At 42.1% G+C, this 27138-nt stretch overlaps 2 protein-coding genes across 11 annotated transcripts in view; one reads left to right on the top strand and one right to left on the bottom strand.

Annotated features, from left to right (window-relative positions):
- Positions 1 to 2909, top strand: part of RIGI (RNA sensor RIG-I) — a 70895-nt gene extending 67986 nt beyond the window's left edge. For all 7 annotated transcript variants that reach the window (NM_001385912.1, NM_001385913.1, NM_001385907.1 and 4 more), the window contains one exon: positions 793 to 2909. In NM_001385912.1, coding sequence (NP_001372841.1) covers positions 793 to 1089 — 297 coding nt within the window. In that variant the 3' untranslated portion in view covers positions 1090 to 2909. The remainder of the gene's footprint in view (positions 1 to 792) is intronic.
- ACO1 (aconitase 1) overlaps positions 3442 to 27138 on the bottom strand; it is a 70127-nt gene continuing 46430 nt past the window's right edge. For all 4 annotated transcript variants that reach the window (NM_001278352.2, NM_001362840.2, NM_002197.3 and 1 more), the window contains 7 exons: positions 26368 to 26492; positions 24379 to 24483; positions 23510 to 23652; positions 21814 to 21961; positions 17624 to 17746; positions 9130 to 9315; positions 3442 to 8213 (listed from right to left, as the gene is read on the bottom strand). In NM_001278352.2, the coding sequence (NP_001265281.1) occupies positions 8100 to 8213; positions 9130 to 9315; positions 17624 to 17746; positions 21814 to 21961; positions 23510 to 23652; positions 24379 to 24483; positions 26368 to 26492 (944 nt within the window). In that variant the 3' untranslated portion in view covers positions 3442 to 8099. The remainder of the gene's footprint in view (positions 8214 to 9129; positions 9316 to 17623; positions 17747 to 21813; positions 21962 to 23509; positions 23653 to 24378; positions 24484 to 26367; positions 26493 to 27138) is intronic.

Genomic DNA, 27138 nt, shown 5'->3' with positions numbered 1-27138 from the left:
TCTCCAAAGAGAAATATGGGGTATAACTCTTGCATGGGGGGCACAGTGGAGGGGCTGGGCTGGCTCAGATGAGGAGTTATTACTTCAGGATGTTCCGTTCGTCTTCAGAAAGCAGAAATCTCTCATCAGCTCAGCTGTTTGGGCAAAAAGCCTATTAGGAGTCATATTGCTAAGTTCCCTTACCTTTCTAAGTCTGCTTCTTTAGCTGTAAAAGGTCCTTTCAGCTCCAATTTGGGTGATTGTTCTACTAAAAATGGCCCTTTTAGACCCTATGTTTTCCTGAGGGACTAGTATGTTGGATCTGCATTTGTTTCTGAGCTGTTTACTCTAAAGTTGACTCTAGGTGGGGCCTGTGGACACATTAGTCCCTGACCTTCTTCAATTGCATCTTGACCTTGGTCGTTTTCCCTGTATCCTTTGGATTGTGCCTGCCAGGGCCACTGGTGAACTTCAGCTTCACAAATTTTCAGCAAACATCGCTTCTGTTTTTGAATAATGAGTATCTACCTTCAGAAGCTGGGTTACCTGGAACCTTCTTAATCTTCTTCTTTATGAGGTGCCCAGTGTCCTCACTTGCAACCCCACCCTGCCTGTAGAGGGGAGTCAGGTGCATGGATCCTCTGGACTTTGGGTGAATCTATTTTTTTTTTTCCTCCAATTGTAAAATAAGTGAGACCCACCTGTTCTTTGCCTCAGATTATTGTGGGGTTTTCTTTTTTTTTTTTTTAAATCACAATTATGTACTGGTTCTAACGTTCTCTTTTGTGTGTTATTCCATCCCTTCATCTGTAGGAATGCCATTACACTGTGCTTGGAGATGCTTTTAAGGAATGCTTTGTGAGTAGACCACATCCCAAGCCAAAGCAGTTTTCAAGTTTTGAAAAAAGAGCAAAGATATTCTGTGCCCGACAGAACTGCAGCCATGACTGGGGAATCCATGTGAAGTACAAGACATTTGAGATTCCAGTTATAAAAATTGAAAGTTTTGTGGTGGAGGATATTGCAACTGGAGTTCAGACACTGTACTCGAAGTGGAAGGACTTTCATTTTGAGAAGATACCATTTGATCCAGCAGAAATGTCCAAATGATATCAGGTCCTCAATCTTCAGCTACAGGGAATGAGTAACTTTGAGTGGAGAAGAAACAAACATAGTGGGTATAATCATGGATCGCTTGTACCCCTGTGAAAATATATTTTTTAAAAATATCTTTAGCAGTTTGTACTATATTATATATGCAAAGCACAAATGAGTGAATCACAGCACTGAGTATTTTGTAGGCCAACAGAGCTCATAGTACTTGGGAAAAATTAAAAAGCCTCATTTCTAGCCTTCTTTTTAGAGTCAACTGCCAACAAACACACAGTAATCACTCTGTACACACTGGGATAGATGAATGAATGGAATGTTGGGAATTTTTATCTCCCTTTGTCTCCTTAACCTACTGTAAACTGGCTTTTGCCCTTAACAATCTACTGAAATTGTTCTTTTGAAGGTTACCAGTGACTCTGGTTGCCAAATCCACTGGGCACTTCTTAACCTTCTATTTGACCTCTGCGCATTTGGCCCTGTTGAGCACTCTTCTTGAAGCTCTCCCTGGGCTTCTCTCTCTTCTAGTTCTATTCTAGTCTTTTTTTATTGAGTCCTCCTCTTTGCTGATCCCTTCCAAGGGTTCAATATATATACATGTATATACTGTACATATGTATATGTAACTAATATACATACATACAGGTATGTATATGTAATGGTTATATGTACTCATGTTCCTGGTGTAGCAACGTGTGGTATGGCTACACAGAGAACATGAGAACATAAAGCCATTTTTATGCTTACTACTAAAAGCTGTCCACTGTAGAGTTGCTGTATGTAGCAATGTGTATCCACTCTACAGTGGTCAGCTTTTAGTAGAGAGCATAAAAATGATAAAATACTTCTTGAAAACTTAGTTTACTATACATCTTGCCCTATTAATATGTTCTCTTAACGTGTGCCATTGTTCTCTTTGACCATTTTCCTATAATGATGTTGATGTTCAACACCTGGACTGAATGTCTGTTCTCAGATCCCTTGGATGTTACAGATGAGGCAGTCTGACTGTCCTTTCTACTTGAAAGATTAGAATATGTATCCAAATGGCATTCACGTGTCACTTAGCAAGGTTTGCTGATGCTTCAAAGAGCTTAGTTTGCGGTTTCCTGGACGTGGAAACAAGTATCTGAGTTCCCTGGAGATCAACGGGATGAGGTGTTACAGCTGCCTCCCTCTTCATGCAATCTGGTGAGCAGTGGTGCAGGCGGGGAGCCAGAGAAACTTGCCAGTTATATAACTTCTCTTTGGCTTTTCTTCATCTGTAAAACAAGGATAATACTGAACTGTAAGGGTTAGTGGAGAGTTTTTAATTAAAAGAATGTGTGAAAAGTACATGACACAGTAGTTGCTTGATAATAGTTACTAGTAGTAGTATTCTTACTAAGACCCAATACAAATGGATTATTTAAACCAAGTTTATGAGTTGGTTTTTTTTCATTTTCTATTTGTATTTTATTAAGAGTGTCTTTTCTTATGTGATTTTTTTTAATTGCTATTTGATATGGTTTGGCTATATGTCCCCACCCAAATCTCATCTTGAATTATAATCCCCATGTGTCAAGGGAGGGACCTGACGGGAGGTGATTGGATCACGGGGGCAGTTGTCCCCATGCTGTTCTTGGGATAGTGAGTTAGTTCTCATGAGATCTGATGGTTTTATAAGTGTTTGACAATTCCTCCTTTACACACACTCTCTCTCTCATCTGCTGCCATGTAAGACTTGCCTGCTTCCCCTTCTGCCATGATTGTAAGTTTCCTGAGGCCTCCTCAGCCATGTGGAACTGTGAATCTATTAAGCCTCTTTTCTTTATAAATGACCCAGTCTCAGGCAGTTCTTTATAGCAGTGTGAAAACAGACTAATACACTATTGTTTAAGAACTCCAATAGGATGTGTAAAACATCTACTAGAAATAGATTTAATAAGATAAAAGTTATTATTATTATTTTTTTTTCTGAGATGGAGTCTCACTCTGTTGCCCAGGTTGGAGTGTAGTGGTGTGATCTCGGCTCACTGCAACCTCTGCCTTCTAGGTTCAAGTGATTCTCCTGCCTCAGCCTCCCACATAGCTGGGTACAGGCACCCACCACCACACCCGGCTAAATTTTTTTATTTTTAGTAGAGTCGGGGTTTCACCATGTTGGCCAGGCTGGTCTTGAACTCCTGACCTCAAGTGATCCACTTGCCTCGGCCTCCCACAGTGTTGGGATTACAGGCGTGAGTCACCATGCCTGGCCAAGAAAAGTTCTTTTAAGTATGTAAATGATTCAATTTGGATGAAGGTGAATAGCCCTATTCAGCCAACTGAGGCAGGCAGACTGAAGTGAAAATAAATAAGGAGAACTTAGCATTTCCTTGTTTGACTTTTAATGGAATAATGTCATTGCCAGGCATGGACTCAAACAAAGTAGGCACTTGGTTAATATGTATTGAATGAAAGAAATGAGCAGGTAGGCTTTTAGGAAGTGGATCTTTTGACTGACTCCCAAATGCTGGTCATTGCATTTCTAGAACAAAGGCCACATTTTAGAAACAACTGGGGAGTCTTTTTCATGGACACATGCCCAGCCCCATTAGAGCATCCTGGCAGGGTGTCCAGCCGTGTATGTTTTGAAGCTCCTGTGGTTCAGACACAACCTGTTACACAACTACCACCTTGTTATCTCTGTGGTCCTGGCCTGTGCTGATGCTGTGATATTTTCACCCTGAAATGAAGAGTCATCCCAACATCAAGGTCAGTAAACCAATTCCTGTCCTTAAAATGGATTCATTATTATTTGAATTTCAAACAACAGACCAACCATAGCTCAATGTTTCTCAAGAGTATCCTGTGGAGCACAGTGCGTGAACGCCCAGAAGAAAGCAGTCTGTGGTCAGGTGGGTTTCTGTGCCATTTGCTGCCACCTTCCCTGCAAACAGTGATTTACAGCACACATTGTTCTTGTGTCTGTTCTGCAGTGATAAAACCCATTTAACTCAGTGGTTCCCAAATGTACTGACCGTGGAACTGTTTTACTCAGGGGACACTGTTAACATCCTGTAGAAGCACAGTAGCAGGTATCCAGCCTGCATACGATAAGACAACCAGAACCAAATTTGGCAGGTACATGTCTGGAACTCTGTTTCATTATGCCGTAAAATAAAACTACGAATTTCATTCAACAAATCTGTACTGAATAAGTAGGCTTCACTCTTGGGATGTCAACTTTTAAAACTTACTTAATATCAGCTATCGTTATATAATCTTTGTTCATAATGACGCTGTCTGGTTGAACACAAACTGGCTGGGTGTTAAATTCCACTTGTGTTTATGATATTTAATAATGTCCTAAGAAGGCAGCCAGTAGAACCTTGGCTACTGTTTTTCAAAAGTGGCTCTGCATTGCTCCTACATAACCCCGTACATTACTCCACAGTCCTGTTAGAGCCCTGAAAGGGAAACTGCTAAAAATAAGGTTCTTCATTTAGGTGACTAGGAACTCCCAATATTTTTGCCCTAGGGAATACTGGGAGACAAATCTCTACGATCACAAATTACTAATGGTTTCCCCAGAACTGCTGGTGGCCATATCCCCTGGCATGTGGAAGGGCCCAGAAGAGGCCACTCTACTGCAGAGGCCAACAGAAGGTATGATTGGTGGAGGGATGGGGGGGTGGTTGGAGGGGCAAATGGAAGGGAGCTTGAGTCACTAGATCCAATCAAGCCCATAGTCATGGCCACCACTGTCCTCAAGTTCTATGAGCCAGCTTTTTTTTTTTTTTCCTTAAGCTAATTTGAGCTGTGCTTCTACCACAGCTAAGATTCATGCCTAATATATCTTTTCCCTAGATTACTCCCTATGTACCATAAAAATCTGGTGTGTAAATACACATGAAGGGCATCCCTCATCCTTATTTGCTATATTAAAAATATTAACTAACTCTTAGCTTGCTGCGGATGCCAGGAATGCAGTAATGAATTTGGAAAACTATCCAAACAAACAGGGGAATCTTCATTCGCAAAGAATATGGGAGGGAGAACAGCAGATTTTTAATTTGGATAGTAAGACGAGCAGCCCTTAAAGAACCAGGTAAAAGAAGTTGGTTTATTTAGGCTTGTTAGTGGGCAAGGTTGAGACACTGGCCAAGATACTTTTTTTTTTGGGGGGGGGGGGGGTGGTGATTGATTGATAGGGTCTCACTCTATTGCCCAGGCTGGAGTGCAGTGGAGCAATCATAGCCACGACCTCCCAGGCTCAAGTGATCCTCCCACCTCAGCCTCCTGAACAGCTGGGACCACAGGTGCACACCTGGCTGATTTATTTTATTTATTTATTTATTTATTTTTTTTTTTGTAGAGTGTTGCCCAGGCTGGTCTCAAACTTCTGGGCTCAAGCAACCCTCCAGCCTCGGCCTCCCAAAGTGTTGGGATCATAGGCATGAGACACCGTGCCTGGCGAAGATATTTTTACCGAAAAGGACAGAGGGTGTACTTGGAGGTAAGGGACCCAATTCCATTAGTCTAGCCACAATAATGTGTTTGTTTCCTCATAACCACAGTCTTGGTTGGGCTGCTGTAACTAAATATCAACTGGGTGGCTTATAAACAATAGAAATTTCTCACAGTTCTGGCTGGAAAGTCTAGGTTCAAGGCACTGGCAGATTCAGTATCTGGTGAGAACCCACTTTCTGGTTCACGGATGGTGACTTCTTGCTGTGTTCTCCCATGGCAGAAGAAATGAGGGGGTCTCTATCTTATCTTGAGTCTCTTTTAAAAGGCACTACCCTCATGATCTAATCACCTTCCAAAGGCCCCAGCTTCTATTACCATTACCTGGGGGGTTAAGGTTTCACCACCTGAATTTTGGGGAGGATACAAAAATACAGACCACAGGAGCCACTGAATGCGGGGAGCGAGACAGCTCCCCAGCTGCTCAGTAATGGAGAGCTGAGAGGGTGGAGGTCTGTTTTCTCAGCCATTCTTAGTGTTTTTATTCTAGGACTGATCTTAACTTGAGGATCACAGGTTTTTTTGTACAATGGAGTTCTGTTTGTTTGTAATTTTTTTTTTTTTTTGAGACGGAGCTTTGCTCTTGTAGCCCAGGCGGGCGTGCAATGGCACGATCTCGGCTCACTGCAGCCTCTGCATCCCGGGTTTAAGCAATTCTCCTGCCTCAGCCTCCTGTGTAGCTGGGATTACAGGCACACAATACCACACCTGGCTAATTTTTTGTATTTTTAGTAGAGACGGGGTTTCACCATGTTGGCCAGGCTGGTCTAGAACTCCTGACCTCAGGTGATCTACCCACCTCGGCCTCCCAAAGTGATGGAATTATAGGCATGAGCCACTGCGCCTGGCTGTTTGTTTGTAATTTATTTTTTAAATGAATATAAATAAGATCCCCAGGACCGCAAGTGCAGGGATGCTAAATAACCTGTCTTGATCCCTCATCTGGTGAGAAGTAGAAAGAGGATTAGATTCCAGATGTTCTGATGACCAGGCCATATCCCCTGAGTGCTAAGGTTGACATTAAAAATTCATTACAAAGATCCTGCCCTCCTGTCCTTGGACATCACAGCTCCTGCTTGTTCCTGGGCATTCAGACTCTGGGACTTATACCAGCATTCCCCATGCCCCTCCCCAGGTTCTTAGGCATTTGGACTTGAACCAAGTTGTTATACCACCAGCTTTCCTGGGTCTCCATAAGAGTGGGACCCTGATCCAATACAATTAGTGTTGCTGTAAGAAGAGACATGAGAGCCTATTTTCTCTCTCCCCCACCAGGCACATACCAAAGAAATGCCATGTGAGAACAAGCAAGAAGGTGGCCATCTGTAAACCAGGAAGAGTGTCCTCACCAGAAAATGAAGTGGCTTCAACTTTGATCTCAGAATTCCAGCCTCCATAACTGTGAGAAAATACATTTCTGTTCTTTCAGCCAGTCTATGGCATTACATTATAGCAACCCAAGCAAACTAAGGCATGCCCAGAAATGACTACAGGGGTAAAAATGAGCAGATAATTGGTTTTTAGTGTCCTGAAGTTTATCTGCTTTTCCTTATGTACTTATATCGTTGCCACTGCCACCAGGCTACTCTTCCTTCTTGTCTGCTCCCAAACAGGGAAGAGCGAGCATAATGGTTCCTAAACATTTCCGTTATACCCGTACAGTTCTGATAGAGTTGTAAAAATGGGAGAATATGAAGGTTATTCAGGCTTCCCAATGATATGGTGTGAGATTCACTCTGTACTAAATATCCCAAAACTCTAGCCACAAACACAGCAAAACTCAAAGTCAACAAGTTTTCACTGAAAATAGATTTCATTTCATTCAAATTAGAAATGTGTTCTCCCAAACCGCCTCCCAACAAAGGTCTCTGCTTGATAAATGAAAAGATAGTAAAAGAAAACTTCACATTTCTTTTTATGTGGATCTATCAAAAGGTACATAATCAAAACAACTTTAACACCCGACCTATCCATGAGGAGTCTGGATGATTCACTCTGAAGGAAAAGGGGAGAGAAGAGAGAATCACTGCTCTGATTTGAAGTGTGCAAAGTTCTTATCTATGTCACTTAACACTGGTATAATTAATACAGAAAGGAAAATGACCCTCAAGAGGAAGGTTTCATTGAGCAGAGCGTAAGAGGAACAATAAGAGGGTAGGAGACACCTCCTGAGAAGGTTTGCTTGTGTTCAGCTGAAGATTAATAGGAAACAGTGAAAAAGCAACGTCCTGTGATCAGTAACTTTAAAGACAAGCTTGGTTCTCTCTTTCTGGCACTACTGACATTCCCACCATTCTAGCTTCCAAATTCTGGAAAAAGAGAAGATGATTAACAAAAATAGAGAATGTAGAAACTTCTGGTTTTGTGCCTACAGGATTGGCACCAGACCCTCAGTGCTCACTTGCTCCATCTACAAGGCAGCACCCCTCCCAGAGGCAGCCAGGGAGGCCTCTCCACCAGGGCCTGCGCTGGCTGGTGGTGCGGCTTCCTCCCTGGGCGCAGCACCAAGTGCACGTCTCCTACTTGGCCATCTTGCGGATCATGTAGTTGAGGATGCCCCCGTTGAGGAAATAAGTGAGCTCCACATCAGTGTCAAACCTCATGACAGCCTGGAAGGTCTTGCCAGTATCCAGCTGTGGCACAAAGAAACAGAAGCATCATTGAGGGAGGTGGCGAGACAGCTCTGCTCGGAGGAAATTCTGCCCAGCCTGCCCCTCAGGTGTGGTCCACACTTCAGTAACACCAGCAGCACATGAGGACATGCAAGGCTGCTGGCCCCAGCCCAGACCCACTAAATCAGAAGATGCATTTCAGCAAGATCTCTGGGAGGCTGCTTTGCCCATTACAGTTTGAGAATCACTGCAGACTGTAAATGATGGGGGTGAGAGCCATCTAAGAACTAGAAATAGCTTCTCAGGGCAGTAGCTATTAATGACATCAGGGTGGTATTTTCTAAACCTCTGGGGGCTCCCTGTGGACAGAAGTATTCAATCAGCAGAGATTTCATTAAGGTTGTCCCTTAGGCAGCTGGCCCATCTGCTTATCTGAGACACAGACTTTTGCACTGCCTCTGTCTGGGGCACCGAATGACCCCTGGGACCTGGTGCTGGGCACTTTATCTTTACCTTGCCTAGGGATCTATCATTTTCACTCTTGGGCTAATCAAAGCCTGGTGCCTATGGGCAGGCTTAGGGAGGGGTGAGTATATCTGTTGCTCACGTTTTTATAGTGAAATGTTTTAGGTAATGTGAAATGTCACATCCCTGAGCTCTCATCACGAGAGACCGGGAACAGGGTACAGTAGGGGGTGGGAGGTAAGAATGGAACTGAGGATAACTCTGTGAATAAACAGAGAAATTAAATCCATAGGCATCATCCTATGCTATGAAGGCAGGTAGAAAAGATGCTAGTAGGCCTCCTAAGTCTAATGCAGTCCTCCTGAGTGATATTTTTTGCCTTCTAAACCTCACTAATTTCCTTCTAACAAGACTGGTTACAAACGAGGGGGCCCCTTTCGACAGGGCCTGGCATAGAGAGGCTCCAGCTTACCTTGACCTGGACTTTCATTTGTGGTTTGAGGTTTTCTGGAATAATGATAGTGTATCGTTCTTGCCCTGTGAGCCCCAGGGCATCTGCATTCTCACCAGGGAGATATTCAAGTGGGATCACACCCATCCCAACCAGGTTACTGCGGTGAATGCGCTCGTAGCTCTCGGCCAGGACGGCTTTGATTCCCTGATGAATAAAGACAGTAGTTTAGACATACTTCCAATCTTTTCTTTGGATACACAGGTTTACAAAAGACTTTGTGAGAGAGCTGGCATGATGGCCGAATAGGAACAGCTCCAGTCTGCAGCTCCCAGTGAGACTGACACAGAAGGCGAGTGATTTCTGCATTTCCAACTGAGGTACCCGGTTCATCTCATTGGGACTGGTTGGACAGTGGGTGCAGCCCATGGAGGATGCGCTCAAGTGGGGTGGGGCGTCACCTCACCTGGGAAGCACAAAGGGTCAGGAAACTTCCTCTCCTAGCCAAGGGAAGCCATGAGAGACTGTACCAGGAGGAACAGTGCACTCTGGCCCAGATACTGCGCTTTTCCCATGGCCTTCACAACCAGCAGACCAGGAGATTCCCTCCAGTGCCTGGCTTGGTGGGTCCCACCCACAAGGAGCCCAGAAAGCTAAGATCCACTGGCTTGAAATTCTTGCTGCTAGCACAGCAGTCTGAGGTTGACCTGGGATGCTCGAGCTTGGTGGGCAGAGGGGCATCGGCCATTGCTGAGGCTTGAGTAGGTGGTTTTACCCTCACAGTGTAAACAAAGTCTTAAACTGGGTGGAGCCCACCGCAGCTCAGCAAGGCCTACTGCCTCTCTAGATTCCTCCTCTCTGGGCAGGGCATCTCTGAAAAAAAGGCAGCAGCCCCAGTCAGGTACTTATAGATAACACCCCCATCTCCCTGGGACAGAGCACCTAGGGGAAGGGGTGGCTGTAGGTGCAGCTTCAGCACACTTAAATGTCCCTGCTTGACAGCTCTGAATAGAGTAGTGGTCCTCCCAGCACAGCATTTGAGCTCTGATAAAGCCAGATTGCCTCCTCAAGTGGGTCCCCGACCCCCATGTATCCTGACTGGAAGACATCTCATACAGGAGAGCTCTGGCTGGCAGCTGGTGGGTCCGCCTCTGGGACAAAGCTTCCAGAGGAAGGAAGAGGCAGCAATCGTTGCTGTTCTGCAGCTTCCGCTGGTGATACCCAGGCAAACAGGGTCTGAAGTAGGCCTCTAGCAAACTCCAGCAGACCTGCAGCAGAGGAGTCTGCTTGTTAGAAGGAAAACTAACAAACAAAGTAATAGTATCAACATCAACCAAAAGGACATCCACTCAGAGACCCCATCCGAAGGTCACCAATGTCAAAGACCAAAGGTAAATAAATCCACAAAGATGGGGAGAAACCAGCACAAAAACGCTGAACATTCCGAAAACCAGAATGGCTCTTCTCCTCCAAAGGATCACAACTCCTCACCATCAAGGGAACAAAACTAGACGGTGAATGAGATTGACAAATTGACAGAAGCAGGCTTCAGAAGGTGGGTGGTAATAAACTCCTGCAAGCTAAAGGAGCATGTTTTAACCCAATGTAAGGAAGCCAAGAACCTTGAAAAAAGGTTAGGCGAATTGCTAACTAGAATAACCAATTTAGAGAAGAACATAAATGACCTGATAGAGCTGAAAAACACAGCACGAGAACTTCGTGAGTATATACAAGTATCAATAGCTGAATTGATCAAGTGGAAGAAAAGATATCAGAGATTGAAGATCAACTCAATGAAATAAAGCAATAAGAAAAGATTAGAGAAAAAAGAGTGAAAAGAAACAGAGAAAGCCTCCAAGAAACATGAGACTATGTGAAAAGACCAAATTACGTTTGAATGGTGTACTTGAAAGTGACAGGGAGAATGAAACCAAGTTGGAAAACATTCTTCAGGATATTATCCAGGAGAACTTCCCCAACCTAGCAAGGCAGGCCAACATTCAAATTCAGGAAATACATGGAACACCACAAAGATACTCAACAAGACCCATAATTGTCAGATTCACCAAGGCTGAAACAAAAGAAAAAAATGTTAAGGGCAGCCAGAGAGAAAGGTCGGGTTACCCACAAAGGGAAGCCCATCAGACTAACAATGGATCTCTCTACAGACACCCTACAAGCCAGAGGAGAATGGGGGCCAATATTCAACATTCTTAAAGAATTTTCAACCGAAAATTTCATATCCAGCCGAACTAAGCTTCATATGTTAAGGAGACATAAAATCCTTTACAGACAAGCAAATGCTGAGAGATTCTGTCACCACCAGGTCTGCCTTACAAGAGCTCCTGAGGAAAGCAATGAACATGGAAAGGAAAAACCGATACCAGTCACTGCAGAAACATACCAAATTGTAAAGACCATCGATGCTATGAAAAACTGCATCAACTAATGGGCAAAATAACCAGCTAACAGCATAATGACAGGATCCAATTCACACATAACAGTATTAACCTTAAATGTAAATGGGCTAAATGCCCCAATTAAAAGACACAGACTGGCAAATTGGATAGAGTCAAGACCCATCAGTGTGCTGCATTCAGAAGACCCATCTCAGGTGCAAAGACACACATAGGCTCAAAATAAAGGGATGGAGGAAGATTTACCAACTAAATGGAAAGCAAAAAAAAAGCAGGGGTTGCAATCCTAGTCTCTGATAAAACAGACTTTAAACCAACAAAGATCAAAAGAGACAAGGCCATTACATAATGGTAAAGGGATCAATGCAACAAGAAGAGCTAACTATCCTAAATATATATGCACCCAATACATAAAGCAAGTTCTTAGAGACCTACAAAGAGACTTAGACTCCCACACAATAATAGTGGGAGACTTTAACACCCCACTGTCAATATTAGATCAACAAGACAGAAAGTTAACAAGGATATCCAGGACTTGAACTCACCTCTGGACAAAGCTGACCTAATAGACATCTACAGAACTCTCTACCCCAAATCAGTAGAATATACATTCTTCTCAGCACCACACTGCACTTTTTCTAACACTGACCACATAATTGGAAGTAAAACACTCCTCAGCATACACAAAAGAATGGAAATCATAACAACCTGTCTCTCAGACCACAGTGCAATCAAATTAGAACTCAGGATTAAGAAACTCACTCAAAACCACACAACTACATGGAAACTGAACAACCTGCTCCTGAATGACTGGTAAAAAATGAAATGAAGGCAGAAATAAAGATGTTCTTTGAAACCAATGAGAACAAAGACACAACGTACCAGAATCTCTGGGACACACTTAAAGCAGTGTGTAGAGGGAAATTTACAGCACTAAATGCCCACAAGAGAAAGCAGGAAAGTTCTAAAATCGACATCCTAACATCACAGTTAAAAGAACTAGAGAAGCAAGAGCAAACAAACTCAAAAGCTAGCAGAAGGCAAGAAATAACTAAGATCAAAGCAGAACTGAAGGAGACAGAGACACCAGAAACTGTTCAAAAAATCAAATCAATGAATCCAGGAGCTGGTTTTTTGAAAAGATCAACAAAACAGACTGCTAGCCAGACTAATAAAGAAGGAAAGAGAGAAGAATCAAATAGAGGCAATAAAAAATGATAAAGGGAATATCACCAGTGATCCCCCGGAAATACAAAATACCATCAGATAATACTATAAACACCTCTACGCAAATAAACTAGAAAATCTAGAAGAAATGGATAAATTCCTGGACACATACACCCTCCCAAGACTAAACCAGGAAGAAATCAAATCCCTGAATAGACCAATAACAAGTTCTGAAATTGAGGCAGTAATTAATAGCCTACCAACCAAAAAAAGCCCAGGACCAGATGGATTCACAGCCGAATTCTACCAGAGGTACAAAGAGGAGCTGGTACCATTCCTTCTGAAACTATTCCAATCAATAGAAAAAGAGGGAATCCTCCCGAACTCATTTTATGAGGCCAGCATCATCCTGATACCAAAGCCGGGCAGAGACACAACCAAAAAAAATTTGAGGCCAATATCCCTGATGAACATCGATGCAAAAATCCTCAATAAAATACTGGAAAACCGAATCCAGCAGCATATCAAAAAGCTTATCTACCATGATCAAGTGGGCTTCATCCCTGGGATGCAAGGCTGGTTCAACATATGCAATTCAATAAATGTAATCCATCACATAAACAGAACCAAAGACAAAAACCACATGATTATCTCAATAGATGCAGAAAAGGACTTTGACAAAATTCAACAGCCCTTCATGTTAAAAACTCTCAATAAACCAGGTATTGATGGAACATATCTCAAAATAGTAAGAGCTATTATGACAAACCCACAGTCAATATCATACTGAATGGGCAAAAACTGGAAGCATTCCATTTGAAAACCGGCACAAGAGAAGGATGCCCTCTCTCACCCCATCAAAAAGTGGGTGAAGGATATGAACAGACACTTCTCAAAAGACATTTATGCAGCCAACAAACATATGAAAAAATGCTCATCCTCACTGGTCATTAGAGAAATGCAAATCAAAACCACAATGAGATACCATCTCACACCAGTTAGAATGGCGATCATTAAAAAGTCAGGGAACAACAGATGCTGGAGAGGATGGGGAGAAATAGGAATGCTTTTACACTGTTGGTGGGAGTGTAAATTAGTTCAACCATTGTGGAAGATGGTGTGGCGATTCCTTAAGGATGTAGAACCAGAAATACCATTTGACCCAGCAATCCCATTCCTGGGTATATACCCAAAGGATTATAAATCATTGTACTATAAAGACGCATGCACACGTATGTTTATTGTGGCATTGTTCACAATAGCAAAGACCTGGAACCAACCCAAATGCCCATCAATGATTGATAGACTGGATTAAGAAAACGTGGCACATATACACCATGGAATACTATGCAGCCATAAAAAAGGATGAGTTCATGTCCTTTGCAGGGACATGGATGAAGCTGGAAACCATCATCCTCAGCAAACTAACACAAGAACAGAAAACCAAACACTGCATGTTCTCACCCATAAGTGGGAGTTGAACAATGAGAACCCATGAACACAGGGAGGGGAACATCACACACTGGGGCCTGTTGGCGGGTCAGGGGCTAGGGGAGGGATAGCATTAGGAGGAATACCTAATGTAGATGATGGGTTGATGGGTGCAGCAAACCACCACGGCACATGTATACCTGCACATTCTGCACATGTACCCCAGAACTTAAAGTATAATAAAAACACAACAATGAAATACAGCATACAAATAAACAAAAATGTTTGCATATATTTTGTAACCTTTGCCTTGCTACCTCTATAATTCTCCATTTACACCATGTTTTTAGTTAATGTCAGAGTGAAAAATATCACTACACTCATACTACATTCTATCAATGTATAAGAAATGACTTCCGTTATAAAGCGAAGGATGATAAACCTAAAAATCGATCAGCATATGCACATCTGGAAATACTCTGGAGTTCTATTTCTGAAATATTAGTATTAAATACCAAAGAATTGTTTAATTATCTGATGCTGTTGCTTTAAGTAAACTTTTTATTATTTTACTTCAAAGTCTAGAATATCGATAATGAGATGATTCATAGACAGTGATGACAGTAACCTTTTACCTCTGTTATATCTTGAAAAGTCACTTGGTTTTGTGGACTTTTATAGGCCCTCATTTCCAGTAATTGTGTGCTATATTTCAGTGAAATCAGATGTCTAATGTCACAGGAGAAAAAGATGCTTCAGCCTAATTTTGCCATACATCTTCTAGACTGAAGGTCACAATGAAGCGTTTTTTTTACATTAACTTTGTACTCTAAGGGAATTACATCTTGAATACATCTAGGATGACAGAAAATGGCTTAATAAATTTTCAGTTAGTGGTCCTTATTTTTGCCTCATAACACCGTGCTTTCTTCTGTTATATTGCTTTGTAATTGTCTATTTACTGGTCTGTGCCCTACCCCAAATTATAAGCTTCTTGAGCCGGTGATTGTTAAAAAAACAAAAATAAACAAAAGACTTTGTAAGTTAGAACTGTTCTCACACCTAAATTATTTGTAAGTACATATTAATATTTTACATAAAATGTTATCCTCTAGTGATAAATAACACAATAGCTAGTCTTCACTGATTGCTCATAATGTAGAGGCACTATGTAAGCACTTAAATAATTCCTCTCATTCCACCATCCACTAACCCGGGGATGTAGATGCCCTTATTGTCCCCCTTTACCCAGGGAGTCAGTGCTGGTATCTGGTAATTGGACCCATGAAGTCTGACAAATGATATAACATGTTTTAGCAAAGTTACATTGTATCTGGAATCCACATCACAAAACAACATAAAATTTTTCCCTTGATTTTTTTCTACTATTTTAGGTGTATCAGCAGGCACAGAAAGTTCAATCAAAAAAGCAACTTTCAGAACATACCACAGATAAAGTAAATGATTACCTCTTGTGTACTGCTTTTACACTTCCTGCTTCAAAGATGAAATTGTGTTGAATATAGTCTTGATATTAAGCTTAAAGTATGTTTTATTGGGAATCTATAATTGGCAATATACAGCAATAAAGGATGGTACTCCATTAACTAGAACTCCCCATTAGTTTATTATTAATAATTAATAACTGTCATATAATATTAAAATACCCTAAGAGGTCTCTTGGTATCTAGGGCACACTTTTAAGATGCCCAACACCAGGGTCACTTTAGGAGCTTGTTGAAAACATAGATACTTGCGTACTACCCCAGATCTGCTGCATCAGAATGTCTTGCAGGGAGCGTGGGGTGGGAGGGGGCTAGTGATTCTTACAATTTTGAGAACCGTGAACTATAGCGCAATGGTTCTCAACCACTGCTGCATACCAGAATCAGCAGGGGAGGCTTTTAAAATCCCAATGTCCAGGCCTTTCTCCTTACCAATTAAACCAGAATCTCTGGAGATGAGATCCAAACACAGGTATTAAAGTATTAAAAAAAAAAAATCCCATAAGTGTTTCCAAACTTGAGACGCACTGCTACAGAGAGAGGGCAGATTCTTTGGGGCGGTAGATCTTTTCTAGGGTTTTAGGGATAGATGGATGTATTCTAGGGAGGTAGAAAGCTTTCTAAACACACCCTATTCATGTCACTAGCTCTGTGTAAAGGCCATGCTGCTTTGCTTCAGAAGCTGTAAATCATAGCTGTCCACTGCTCTCTGTAAGTACAGTCCAGCACGGCTACGTGGCCCAGCCTGGACAGCTACAGAACAGAAGACTGTATGGCTTCCTGGGCAGCCAGAACTCAAGCGGTTCTATAGAAAAGTCTGGACTCTAGAGAACCCCTGGGGGCCAGTTCTCTTCTTATCCTCTATCAGATCTTAGAGTTCCCTACCTGAGTGCTGACTGCCTGGGTTGCATTTTGGCTACAGCTCCCAACCCCCTTCCTAAAATCCTTTTCTTCTGCAATTATCTGGTTCTTTTCAATAGTTTCCAGAAAAGACAGGCCTTTGACCTACTATCAACTAATCAGAGAACATTTCTATTTTCCTCAGAGCAAAATAACCAATTAAAATAATAGGTGTGATGTTCAAAGACATTATCAGAAGCCTAAATGTCTGGAGAACTGCCTGCCAGACAGCCACATTTTTTTACTGTACTTGTGGATATGAACTTAGTGTTTCCGAGGTGCATTAATTTGCGAGCCACAAATGATTTAAATTGACATCAGGTAAGCCATGTGTACCCCACCCTGAAGATTCAGGCTGGGTGGCATGATTCTTCTCTGCTTTTAGGGCAAGCAAATGCTCAAGAGGCAAAAGCTCTCTGCTCCCTGCATGGCCCCTTCTATGGGGACACCTCAAGAGGTAGAGCCCCGAGATGGCGGAAGGTTCTAAAGAGCTGCCTGGGTATGTGCAGAGTGAGTTTCACTCTCATCGAGAGCCCATAAGCAGATATTCATAGGCAGTGAAGTGCAATTATAAAAAGTGATTCTCCCAATTTTCCAGGAGACTTAGAACCCATTCTTGCCAAAGTAACTCCTGAAAAAGTCCAGGCTCCTTTTCTCTTCTGTGAAACTGACAGATAATACAATGGCCCTGGCTTATTCCTGACATTCACCTGGAACAAGGGACCTGAATAAATTTGGGGTCCTCAGCCTCTGAGAATGTTATAAAAGCCATGACACCTCTCCCCATGAAAGACATACATGTATACTTCTGGATATGTTTTCAGAGACTTCACAGACCCTACCCCAAAACTGTTCTATAGACATGCCCCCAAGGTCCATTAATGAATGATAGATCCAGTTCAACTCTGCATTGCCCTTCACCAAATAAAATAAATCCAGAGGCACCAAGAAGCAGGCCAGGAATAAACACTACCTGCTTTTTTGAGCTTGCTCTTCCTTGACATCTTCTTGGAAAGTAAAGCAACAGGATTTGTGCCTGGGGACCCTCCCAGTTCAGAGGGGAGCTGCCTCCTAGGATGTCTACTTCATACTCACCAGCAGGAAAGGGCCCTTAGCTGCCCAGTCTCGGGAGCTGCCTGCACCGTACTCTTTGCCAGCCAGAACGATCAGGGGAAGGCCTGCCTGCTGGTACCGCTCAGCAGCATCAAACACATCAAGCTGAGGAAGAGAAAAGGAAGTTTTACAGATGCAGGAGAGGCAAAGAATGGACACAGGTCCCCTGAGCCCTGGTGAGGGCGGGGCTGGATGGGTTTGCAGATGGCCAAATCCGTCCAATCATCTTGTCTACAAATTCCCAATTATCTTGATCTTTTTACTTCTACCAAATTAAATTTTGTATTCTTTTTTTTTTTTTTGAGATAGAGTTTCACTCTATTGTCTAGGCTGGAGTGCAGTGGCACGATCTCAGCTCACTGCAACCTCCACCTCCCGGGTTTCAATTGATTCTCCTGCTCCAGTCTCCCAAGTAGCTGGGATTACAGGCGCACACCACCATACCCAGCTAATTTTTGTATTTTTAGTAGAGATGGGGTTTCACCATGTTGGCCAAACTGGTATTGAACTCCTGACCTCAAGTGATCCTCCCACCTCGGCCTCCCAAAGTGCTGGGATTACAGGCGTAAGCCACTGCATCCGGCCTTAAATTTTGTATTCTTAAAAACCATTTTATATTCTTTTGACAGAAATGCCTAATTGTTGTTGGTTTTATAAAAACATTAGAATCCTAAGGCATCAGGGGAGAAAAGGAAACTAGATCAGATTTTTTCTTTTCCATTGACTAAATTATTTTAAAACTCAAAAAACAGAATGTGACCTAAACATTTTGGCTCAATATCAGAAACTCGGTGATGTCAGTTGTAAAATTAGCAAAACACAAAGAAGGTAACATGTTCTGAAATTATATAAAGTGCAAACTTTTATCAGTCCCCTTTCTTCATGGAGGTCAAGGGAAGAGATGCTAGAAATGCAAATGGAAGCCCAATAAAAGGTAGAAAAAGATTAATATTTTAGTACATGAGAAACATCTTATACAAACAGATTTGTTTCTCACAGGGAATCTGAATATCTCACTGAACTGAGACTTTACAAAGACATGATATCATCTCTGGTGGTTGAGCAGTACCATTATTTTTCCAGGCTATGTAAGTCAGAAGATAAAATTCCTCAAAAGAGAGACAGGAGCTAAAGAAAACTCTCAAACAGACTTTCACAAATTTGTATTTTGGTGTACTGATGGAACCTGTGGTTAATTTCGCATGCATTACCTAAACCCGGATAGGATTCTGTATGTCTTCAGCTAGACAGAACTCGTAAATATAGAAACTGTCATAGAAACAGTGAAAACCTTCTTCTAACTGAATTGTCTGGATCCTTTCAAAGACCAGAAAGAAACAACTTATCTGATATTTTCAGAGACTGTAGCTTTGGGTATTAACAATGTGAGAGTGTGTGCTTTAAAAAGTACTGCAAAGTTGACAATCTCATGGCAAAGCACGTCATGTTACCCAAGATCAGAGGGACTAAGCAGGTCTAGAACTCACGTCTCCTGACTTTTCTATTAAACACGCCATGCTGAGAGCCACTGACAGCTTAGAAAGCAACAGCTCCCTGCACTCTTACGCTCTTCTAAAGAGAACATAGCATTTAGCTATTTCTTCTGTTACTGTGCCTGTGTATCTCTAGGTATTATGTTTAAACTACTAGTTCTTGATTTCTCCACTTTTTAAAATTATCTGTCAATATTCTACTTTGAGGATTTACTTCTCTTAACAATCTCTCCTCTTCCACACATCTCCCTTCTTCCCAACCTCCCAATATAGTTATTTTGGTAAGTCAGCATTTGGTGTTTGCATGATTATGACTACATAAATACTATTTACAGCTGAGCCAGGTAATGTGCTGTGATTTCCTTTTCTTGGTGATTTAAGACATGTTTCACTGGAGTCAGTAATTTTCATTTGTTTTGAATGAATTTTTTTGAAAATTACTAATTTTCATTTTTTCTATGTTTTTCCTGTTTCTATGTCCTTACCCATTAATTAAACCCTACAGTACAAATCACCTTTAAAGATATTCAGACACATCAGGCAATTTACCATTTTAAAATCTCTGTCATGGAGCTATCATTCCTGGAGCTCTCAGTCCCGTTCCAACTTGGGCTGACTGCTTGCTCTCTGGGCTTGGTGCATTCCTGTTACAGAGGACTCTTCCTTCACTAGCATCCTGGGGATTCCCTTCATCTGGATCCTATGTCTTCCCTTTTGATTTACTCCCTCATTTTGGTGGAACACATTGCCAAGTAGCTTCCTAAGGAAGGTATTGAGGGCTTTTTTAAGCTTTTGAATATCTGAATGTGTCATTACTTTAAGTGCACTTGACTGATGGTCTGATGGGTGTAGATTTTAGGATGCAAATCATTTTCCTCAGTCTAAGTTTCTAGCATCAAGAAGTCTGGAACATGTCTTATTTCCTGTTGTTTCATGTGAGCTGTTTTTCTCTGGAAATGTTGAGATTTCTCCTTTTGTTGCTCTTAATTTCACAGTGATATAACTTGGAGTGTTTTAAAATTATTTAGATGGGCCTTCAGTGGGCCTTTTCAATCTGGATTCTCAGAGAAATTTTGCTTGTAGTTTTTTGTTTTGTTTTGAAATAATTTCCTCTCTTGCATTTTTTCTGTTCTCTTTTTAACACTTCTATTTAGGCAGGTTGTTAGGGCCTCCTGAGTTCAGTTCTTACATTTTTTTCTCTTATCTTTCTGTTACATATTCTAGGAAATGTTCTCAACTAATCACCTTCTCCTTTGAATTTTCTTTTTAAATTTAAAACATTCTTTCTTGTCTTCTGATTGTTATTTCATAGCAACAGAAAATGAACTCTTCTCTAAGTATATAATTTTTTTCTTTTACTTTTTGCACTCCCCATCACCCTGTTCAAGTCTTGACTCAAATGTCTGTTCATCCTTGATTCTGTCTCATTTAAGATGAGGTTCTAGACATCTGACTAGAAGTTCTATGTCATGCAGGGCTTGTAAATGCGTGTGGTACACTGTGATGTTTATTAGGGGTCCCCCAATGTCTATAACTACAAGTCTTTCCCCTTGGTCTCTAAGGTATTCCATCATTCGACATGTATCTTTTTACATTTAATATTCTGTAACCTCTGCTATCCATTGAACAGGCGTCTGCTGGGCTAGGTACTGGTTATTTCTAAAGAACGAGTTTGTGTTACAAAAATATAATCAGTTACGAGTGAGGCAGTATGTGTGGTGGTAAAGGGCACTGACTTCAGAGCCAGACTTTCTGGGTTTTAATTTCAGCTTTTCCACTGTGTGACCTAAAGGAGTAATATGACCTCTTTATGCTTCACTTCTCAATTTAAAGCACAGATAATCATGGTACCTACCTCAAGGGGTTGTTATGAGCATTACATAAATCAATATATGCCAAGAGCTTAGGAGAACACCTGGAATGTAGTTAAGTGCCATAGACATATTAGCGATTATTATTTTAAAATAAGTCGGCAGGGTTATTTCTCAAGTAAGTTAAACAGTTTACAGGCAATTTCACAGCACTCACTGGGAAGGGAAGTGACACTAAGGACCTATGACATGTACCAGACTCTATGCTAGGTTTTATATTTCATTCCATTTCATTTTAAGCCTCAGAGCGTTCTTCCAAGGTAAGTAGTATTTTTACTTCACAGGTGAGAAAAGCAAGGCTCAGAGATGGAAATAACTTTAAGGCTCCACAGCTAGTATAACGTGGAGCTGGGAACAAACAGTCCCTGCTGCAACATACTGACCACAGTGCTCCCATTAGAACCAAAACATGCCTCCAAGCACCTCTCTACTCCTTCTTTTCATGTGGATTAGATGAATTAAATTACATGCCAATAAAGTCATACAATAGCACTTCTTGATAAATATCCTTTAATTTAACCTGGTATTTCCCCTTCGAATACTTTAAATGAAATGTCACTCAAAGCTCAATTCCTAAGAAAAGAGACTCAGTGAAACCACGGTCTAGAATCTCTAAGCAAGAAGAAAAGGTTTGAATTTGTCAATGATACATTCTATGCATATGGACACCTGGCAAGGAGGACTGTAGTTAGGGTAGGATGGAGCTGTGAAGAAAAACTAAAACCAAAAGGCGAGTAACTGTAAATATCCAACCTCCACCAAGGCTGACAAATGCTAGTGTCTGCAGGAAGCAGAAGACAATACTCACGATTTCCCCAGAAGGCAGATGGATAGTCTGTGGTGCCTGCTTGTTCAAAAATCTGTTTAACAAGCGAATGTTGGCAAATGTTCCCCGTGCCATGACGGCGTCATTACCTCGGCGGGAGCCATAGGAGTTGAATTCTCGTGGAGTTAGGCTAAGAAGGCAAGCAAGAAAGGAGCTGGCTTAGTGAAGCAAGCAAAGATTAACCTTAGCTTACACCAAGAAAAGAAAAAAACAAAACAAAACAAAACATAGACCTGGCTATTTCTCTAAGTCTCCTAAGCATTGTTCTCCATGGCAGAAAAGCTGTCCCCAAAGCTTCAACGGAGAAGAGAGAGAGGTGAGAAGGGGTGGTGAGAGGCATAAGTCAGTATTCTCCTGGGTTAATTGTCTTTCAAATCTGGTTAGAAAAATAAGAAGGAAGTCTAAAAAAGAATGTTTTATTTGTTAGTAGGGTAGCCTATAAAGCTTCATATAAGATAAAGAGCTAAATTAAAAATAAGTGAGAAAATGGAAGCAAAGGGAAGAATTAGGGTAGGCAAATCAGATGGAGCCACAAACAGGGGGAAACACAAAATACGTTCCACAAAGTAACCAGAAATAGTTTCAAATTTGTCCCTGAATTATCAGGAACTCAATGCAAAGGAAAGACACACAGCTGGCAACATAACTTACAACTTTCATGAGAGAAAAATCGAGGCAGTGCTAAAGAGGCAGAACAGCTATTTCTGGTCCCCAAACCAGAGGAAATCTTGTCTGTGGGGCCTCAGTGAAAGGAAACTTTGCAGTGTCAGGAAACATACCTTACAATTAACACCGTGACCAGTTCACTGAGCTGTTCCTTAAAATACTAGGGGGTGGGTGTGTTAATATTATTTAATCAATGGTTAGATAGAATTTAAGGACTGAGAGAGTTTAATGGGTTACAGGAGCAGGTGAGTATGTCTTGGAATCCCTGAAACTATCCAAAATGTTGTGGGTATGTGCATTTTTCTGGGAAGGCATTAGATTTGCTTTCATTCAATTCTCTGACGTGTTCATGCCTCAAAAGGGCTCAACAATCAATAGAAAAAAGGCATTTGGATTCTGTTCCTCAAATTCGCTCTGGGGAATCACTGAAAGAACTGATTCAGCAGATGGGGATAGAAACCAGGAATTTTTATGTCCTCACGTGATTCTCGTGGAAACTCAGATTGGGGAACCACTGACCTCGATTAATATATGAGACAGTAGTTGATAATACTGGCATACCTATGAATATCAGCACACTACTGAAGAACTGATAAACAGATGAGTAAGCTGCAAATCCTCCAAGCAGTGCTCTGTAAACGTTAGGTTTCTCAACCAGGACCTGGCAATGCGTGTCAGGTTCTGCCTCTGCCCCAGGTTAAGAGCAGAGCCTTGTACTTTAAAGATCAGCCAAGCCGGGGGCAGGGATGACAGTTGGGCCTAATATATACACTTGCTCAAATGAAGGTCCCTCTCCCCTTCCCCTTGTTAGGATTCACATGTTGATCGTTTCTCCCATGGAAGCTGTTAAGCAGCAAACAGAAAATGCAATTGGTTTTTACCCCAGGGTTAAGCCTCAGTGCACAACCAAAGAGTCTCATTCCAAAGGGCCAGGTGAAAAGAGAAATGCTGGCCTCATTAACTCCATTCCTCCATTTTTGCCTTTAGTCCTTCCTGCCTCATTCATACTTACCCTCTGTTAGTTAAGTAGCGAGCAGCAGGACTGTTTCTTGCAATATTTCCAGCTGGGGAGATGTGGTCAGTTGTTACCGAATCTCCCAAATTTAGCAGCACATAGGCATCCACTATAGATTTAGGGGGCTGAAGATCCAAAGTCTAGCAAAGAATACAAAAAGTCAGCATTGGCCCAGGTTTTCCCAAACAAGTTACCAGATCAGTCTCTACGATGGTGGCCCATGGACCTGAATCAGAGGACAGTTCCACACCAATGCACAGAAAATTCTAGTGTTCTAGTTTTTATCAAAGAGGCCAAGAAAAGTAAGGTGAATTTACTCAAAACATTCATATCTTACTCTTGAAGAAAAGGTAAAATACTGGCAATATCCCCTCAAAAGCAACAGTAACGCAGCTGCAAATGACATTCTCTCTCTTCACATCCCTAGAACTCCTCAGATGCTAAGGACAACTGGAATCCTCACTTCTACTGCATCCCTTCCCACAGTGACCCACCCAGGAGAGCACCAACTTCTAGATCATCAGTTTCAGGGACAATGTCCCTGGTTTTTATGGGTATAAGGTTCACTATGGTGGGCTCTGGGGATGGTCTCCTGGGACAGTCCCTCAGACTCTACTAGGTTTAAGTCCAGGTGATTACTAGGGTGGCTGTGTACATCCACGCAGAACCCCTGCATAGAGAAACTATAGACCCACGGCAGCCAAATATCCCAGCCTCCCAAAACTTTCCCCAGCAGTATCTGCTTGGGTTTGCAAAGGGTTTAATAAAATGGGTAGTCAAAGCAAGAGCATGGGGTAATAAAGTAGATATTATTAGGAAAGAAACCCTTCAAAGAATTCATTTTGTTAAAAAATAAAAAGCCATACCAGGTTTTCAAAGAATGGTGGTGATTTGATATACGTAGATTTGGAATTCCAGAAAAACAGCTTATCTGATGGGGTTGCTAAGGCATTCCAGCTTTCATTCACAGTCTTAAAAAAGAAAAGAAAGGCAGATCTAATCACATCCCATTCCAGAGAAAATTTAATATGCAAACACAAAACATACATTCAAGCTAAAAGGTACACTAAGAACCATTTTTATTCTCAATAGCCACATACAAGAGTTCCTTTATACTAATAGTGGGTCATGCTAAGTAACTTAAAAATCCAGAGACACTGTGGGCTGGGCATGGTAGCTCACATCTATTAATCCCATTACTTAGGGAGGCTGAGGTGGGAGGATGGCTTGAGCCCAGCAGCTCAAGACCAGCCTGGGCAAGATGGCAAAACCATGTCTCTACAAAAATAAAAAAAAAATTGTCTGGGTGTGGTGGCATGTGCCTGTAGTCCGAGCTACTCGAGAGGCTGAGATGGGAGGATTGCTTGAGCTCAGGAATTTGAGGTGGCAGTGAGCTATGATGACACTACTGCACTCCAGCCTGGGTGACAAAGCAAGACCTGGTCTCTGAAAAACAAACAACAACATACATATGCACCGTGATAGGCAGCTTCTAGGATGGCAGGAGGGATCCTGCCTCCTGGGATTCACATCCTTAGTTGACCCCCTCCTGTTGAGTGTGGGCTGAAGCTAGTGACTATCTCCTAGATTAGATTATTGAGACCTGCCTTCTGACTCTCTTGCTCTCTTGCTCTGATGGAAGCCAGCTACCATGTGTGAGTCATGAAGAGACCCTCATAGCAAGGTGCTGAGGGAGGCTTCTAGCGAACAGCCAGTGAGAAACGGAGGACCTCAGTGCAACAGCCCTTGAGGAACTTGATCCTGCCAATAGCCACATGAGTGAGCCTAAGTGGACCCTCCTCCAGAGACTGCAGCCCCAGATGACATCTTACTGGAACCCTGTGAAAGTACACAGTGAAGCTGTGCCTGGATTCTTGACCCACAGAAAATGGGAGACAATATATGTTTGTTGTTTCAACTCACTATATCTATTGCTATATCACAGCAATAGATAACTAATGCATATGCTTATCAATAACTTATGAAATAATAATCCAGATTGTACCAAAGGGGAAATTACTCTCTGAGTGTTTTGGGAAGTGGCCTTCCAGGTCACACAAACACTGGGTAGCAAATGACAGCTGCTATGCATTAAAATTGGTTTGAATTCTGTCCACAGGTCCATTAACTCGGCCTTTGGAGGAAGGCATTTAACATAATGCCTGCCAAGCTCCCTAACACCATCTCCCAAGGAGCACCTTGTGAAGAGTGCAGCGTGTGAACATCACACCTACATCACCCCTTCCCCTAGACAGTTCTACCCTCATTTAAACCATCAGCCGCAGTCAGAAGCCCTTGGGTCAGCTGAATGCAGAAGGCGGGGAAAGGAATAATATCCAAGAGTCTCAGAATATAATGCTGAGCCCCACACATTTCCTCCTATTTGTAAAATGCACGGAAAGTTTTATTTCAGTAGTTTGGCACTTCCTACTGAGTGGCCTTAATTTCTTTATTTTTAAGTGTGCAAAAATGCATTCTGAGAGGTGCATTCGACCAATGGACTCCACTTAGTGACACAATATAGTGACCACCAGGGGTCCTCGCCACAGCTGACACACACCCCTGGGTGTCCGAGAAAGGCGTGGGGTTTTGGAGAGCTGAACCTGAGGAGGCCTTTCTTCTCTAGGCTGTCACCAACTTGTCCAAATCTGGGAACATCTGGGGGAGGTGGGGTTTGTAAAAATGCGAGTCACAGGAGAAAAATGACGGAGAACCACCTCCCCAGTCATCTGAAGAAATAAATGTTACTTTATATAGTTTATACTTCCGTTAGCCTTGAGGTCTGCAGACAGGACACAAAGGGAGCAGCTTTCCCTTAGATCCTCTGGGGCGGGGAGGGCAGTGTGGGACCTCACCTCTATTTTCTGATAGACTTCCTTAAACATCCCCGGGATGACATACTGACGCTCCACTGCCTGGATCTCGTCTCTAGTCGGCCAGATATCTTTCAGAAATACCTGCTGTCCCTTTGCATTTACTCCTGGGGAAAAAATGTTTATTAATGAGAAAACTTTCTAATATGCAATTTTCATGATTATACAGAGTCAAGCCTCGTTCTCCTCGGTAGTTATGTTCTATAAAGCCCGTGTGAACACTGAATGACTGGATACGGAATCACTGCCACTGGAGGAAATACAGGGTTAGGTTCCTGCAAGCCTCTGGTCACCCATCAATACATAACCTTGCTTCATGTGAGGTTTATTATTCACCTTATTTAATAGCAATTGTTGACTCACTGACATTGAACTTCCAGCGAAGCCTATCTAAACACAGTACGCATCACAGTCGGCTTGTGCTCAAGAACACCAGAAGCACTTCAGGACTATGCTCAAGGACCATTTTGAACAGCAAAATCACCACAAAAAGCACAAAAATGCAAAAAGCATGGCACTACGTAGACCAAGAAAAGGATCCTTATATATCGCAGGAGAGCTGAAACAAGAAGTCAGAGTGACGCCTTATCAGATCTCAGCATAGAACGTGTGTGTTGAATGATATAAAGTTTTCACCCCTTTGTGCTGATCTGTGAATGACCGTGAACATACTACAAATACTGATTTGGGGGTTAAAATACATTTTAGTGACTACGCAAATCTGCAAACATAGAACTCACAAATAACGAGGAT

This window comes from Homo sapiens, chromosome 9, assembly GCF_000001405.40.
Source record: "Homo sapiens chromosome 9, GRCh38.p14 Primary Assembly".
In the NCBI taxonomy this organism is placed as follows: Eukaryota; Metazoa; Chordata; class Mammalia; order Primates; family Hominidae; genus Homo; species Homo sapiens.
Note: the sequence above shows the minus strand (reverse complement) of the source record. Positions and strands in the feature narration are given on the sequence as shown.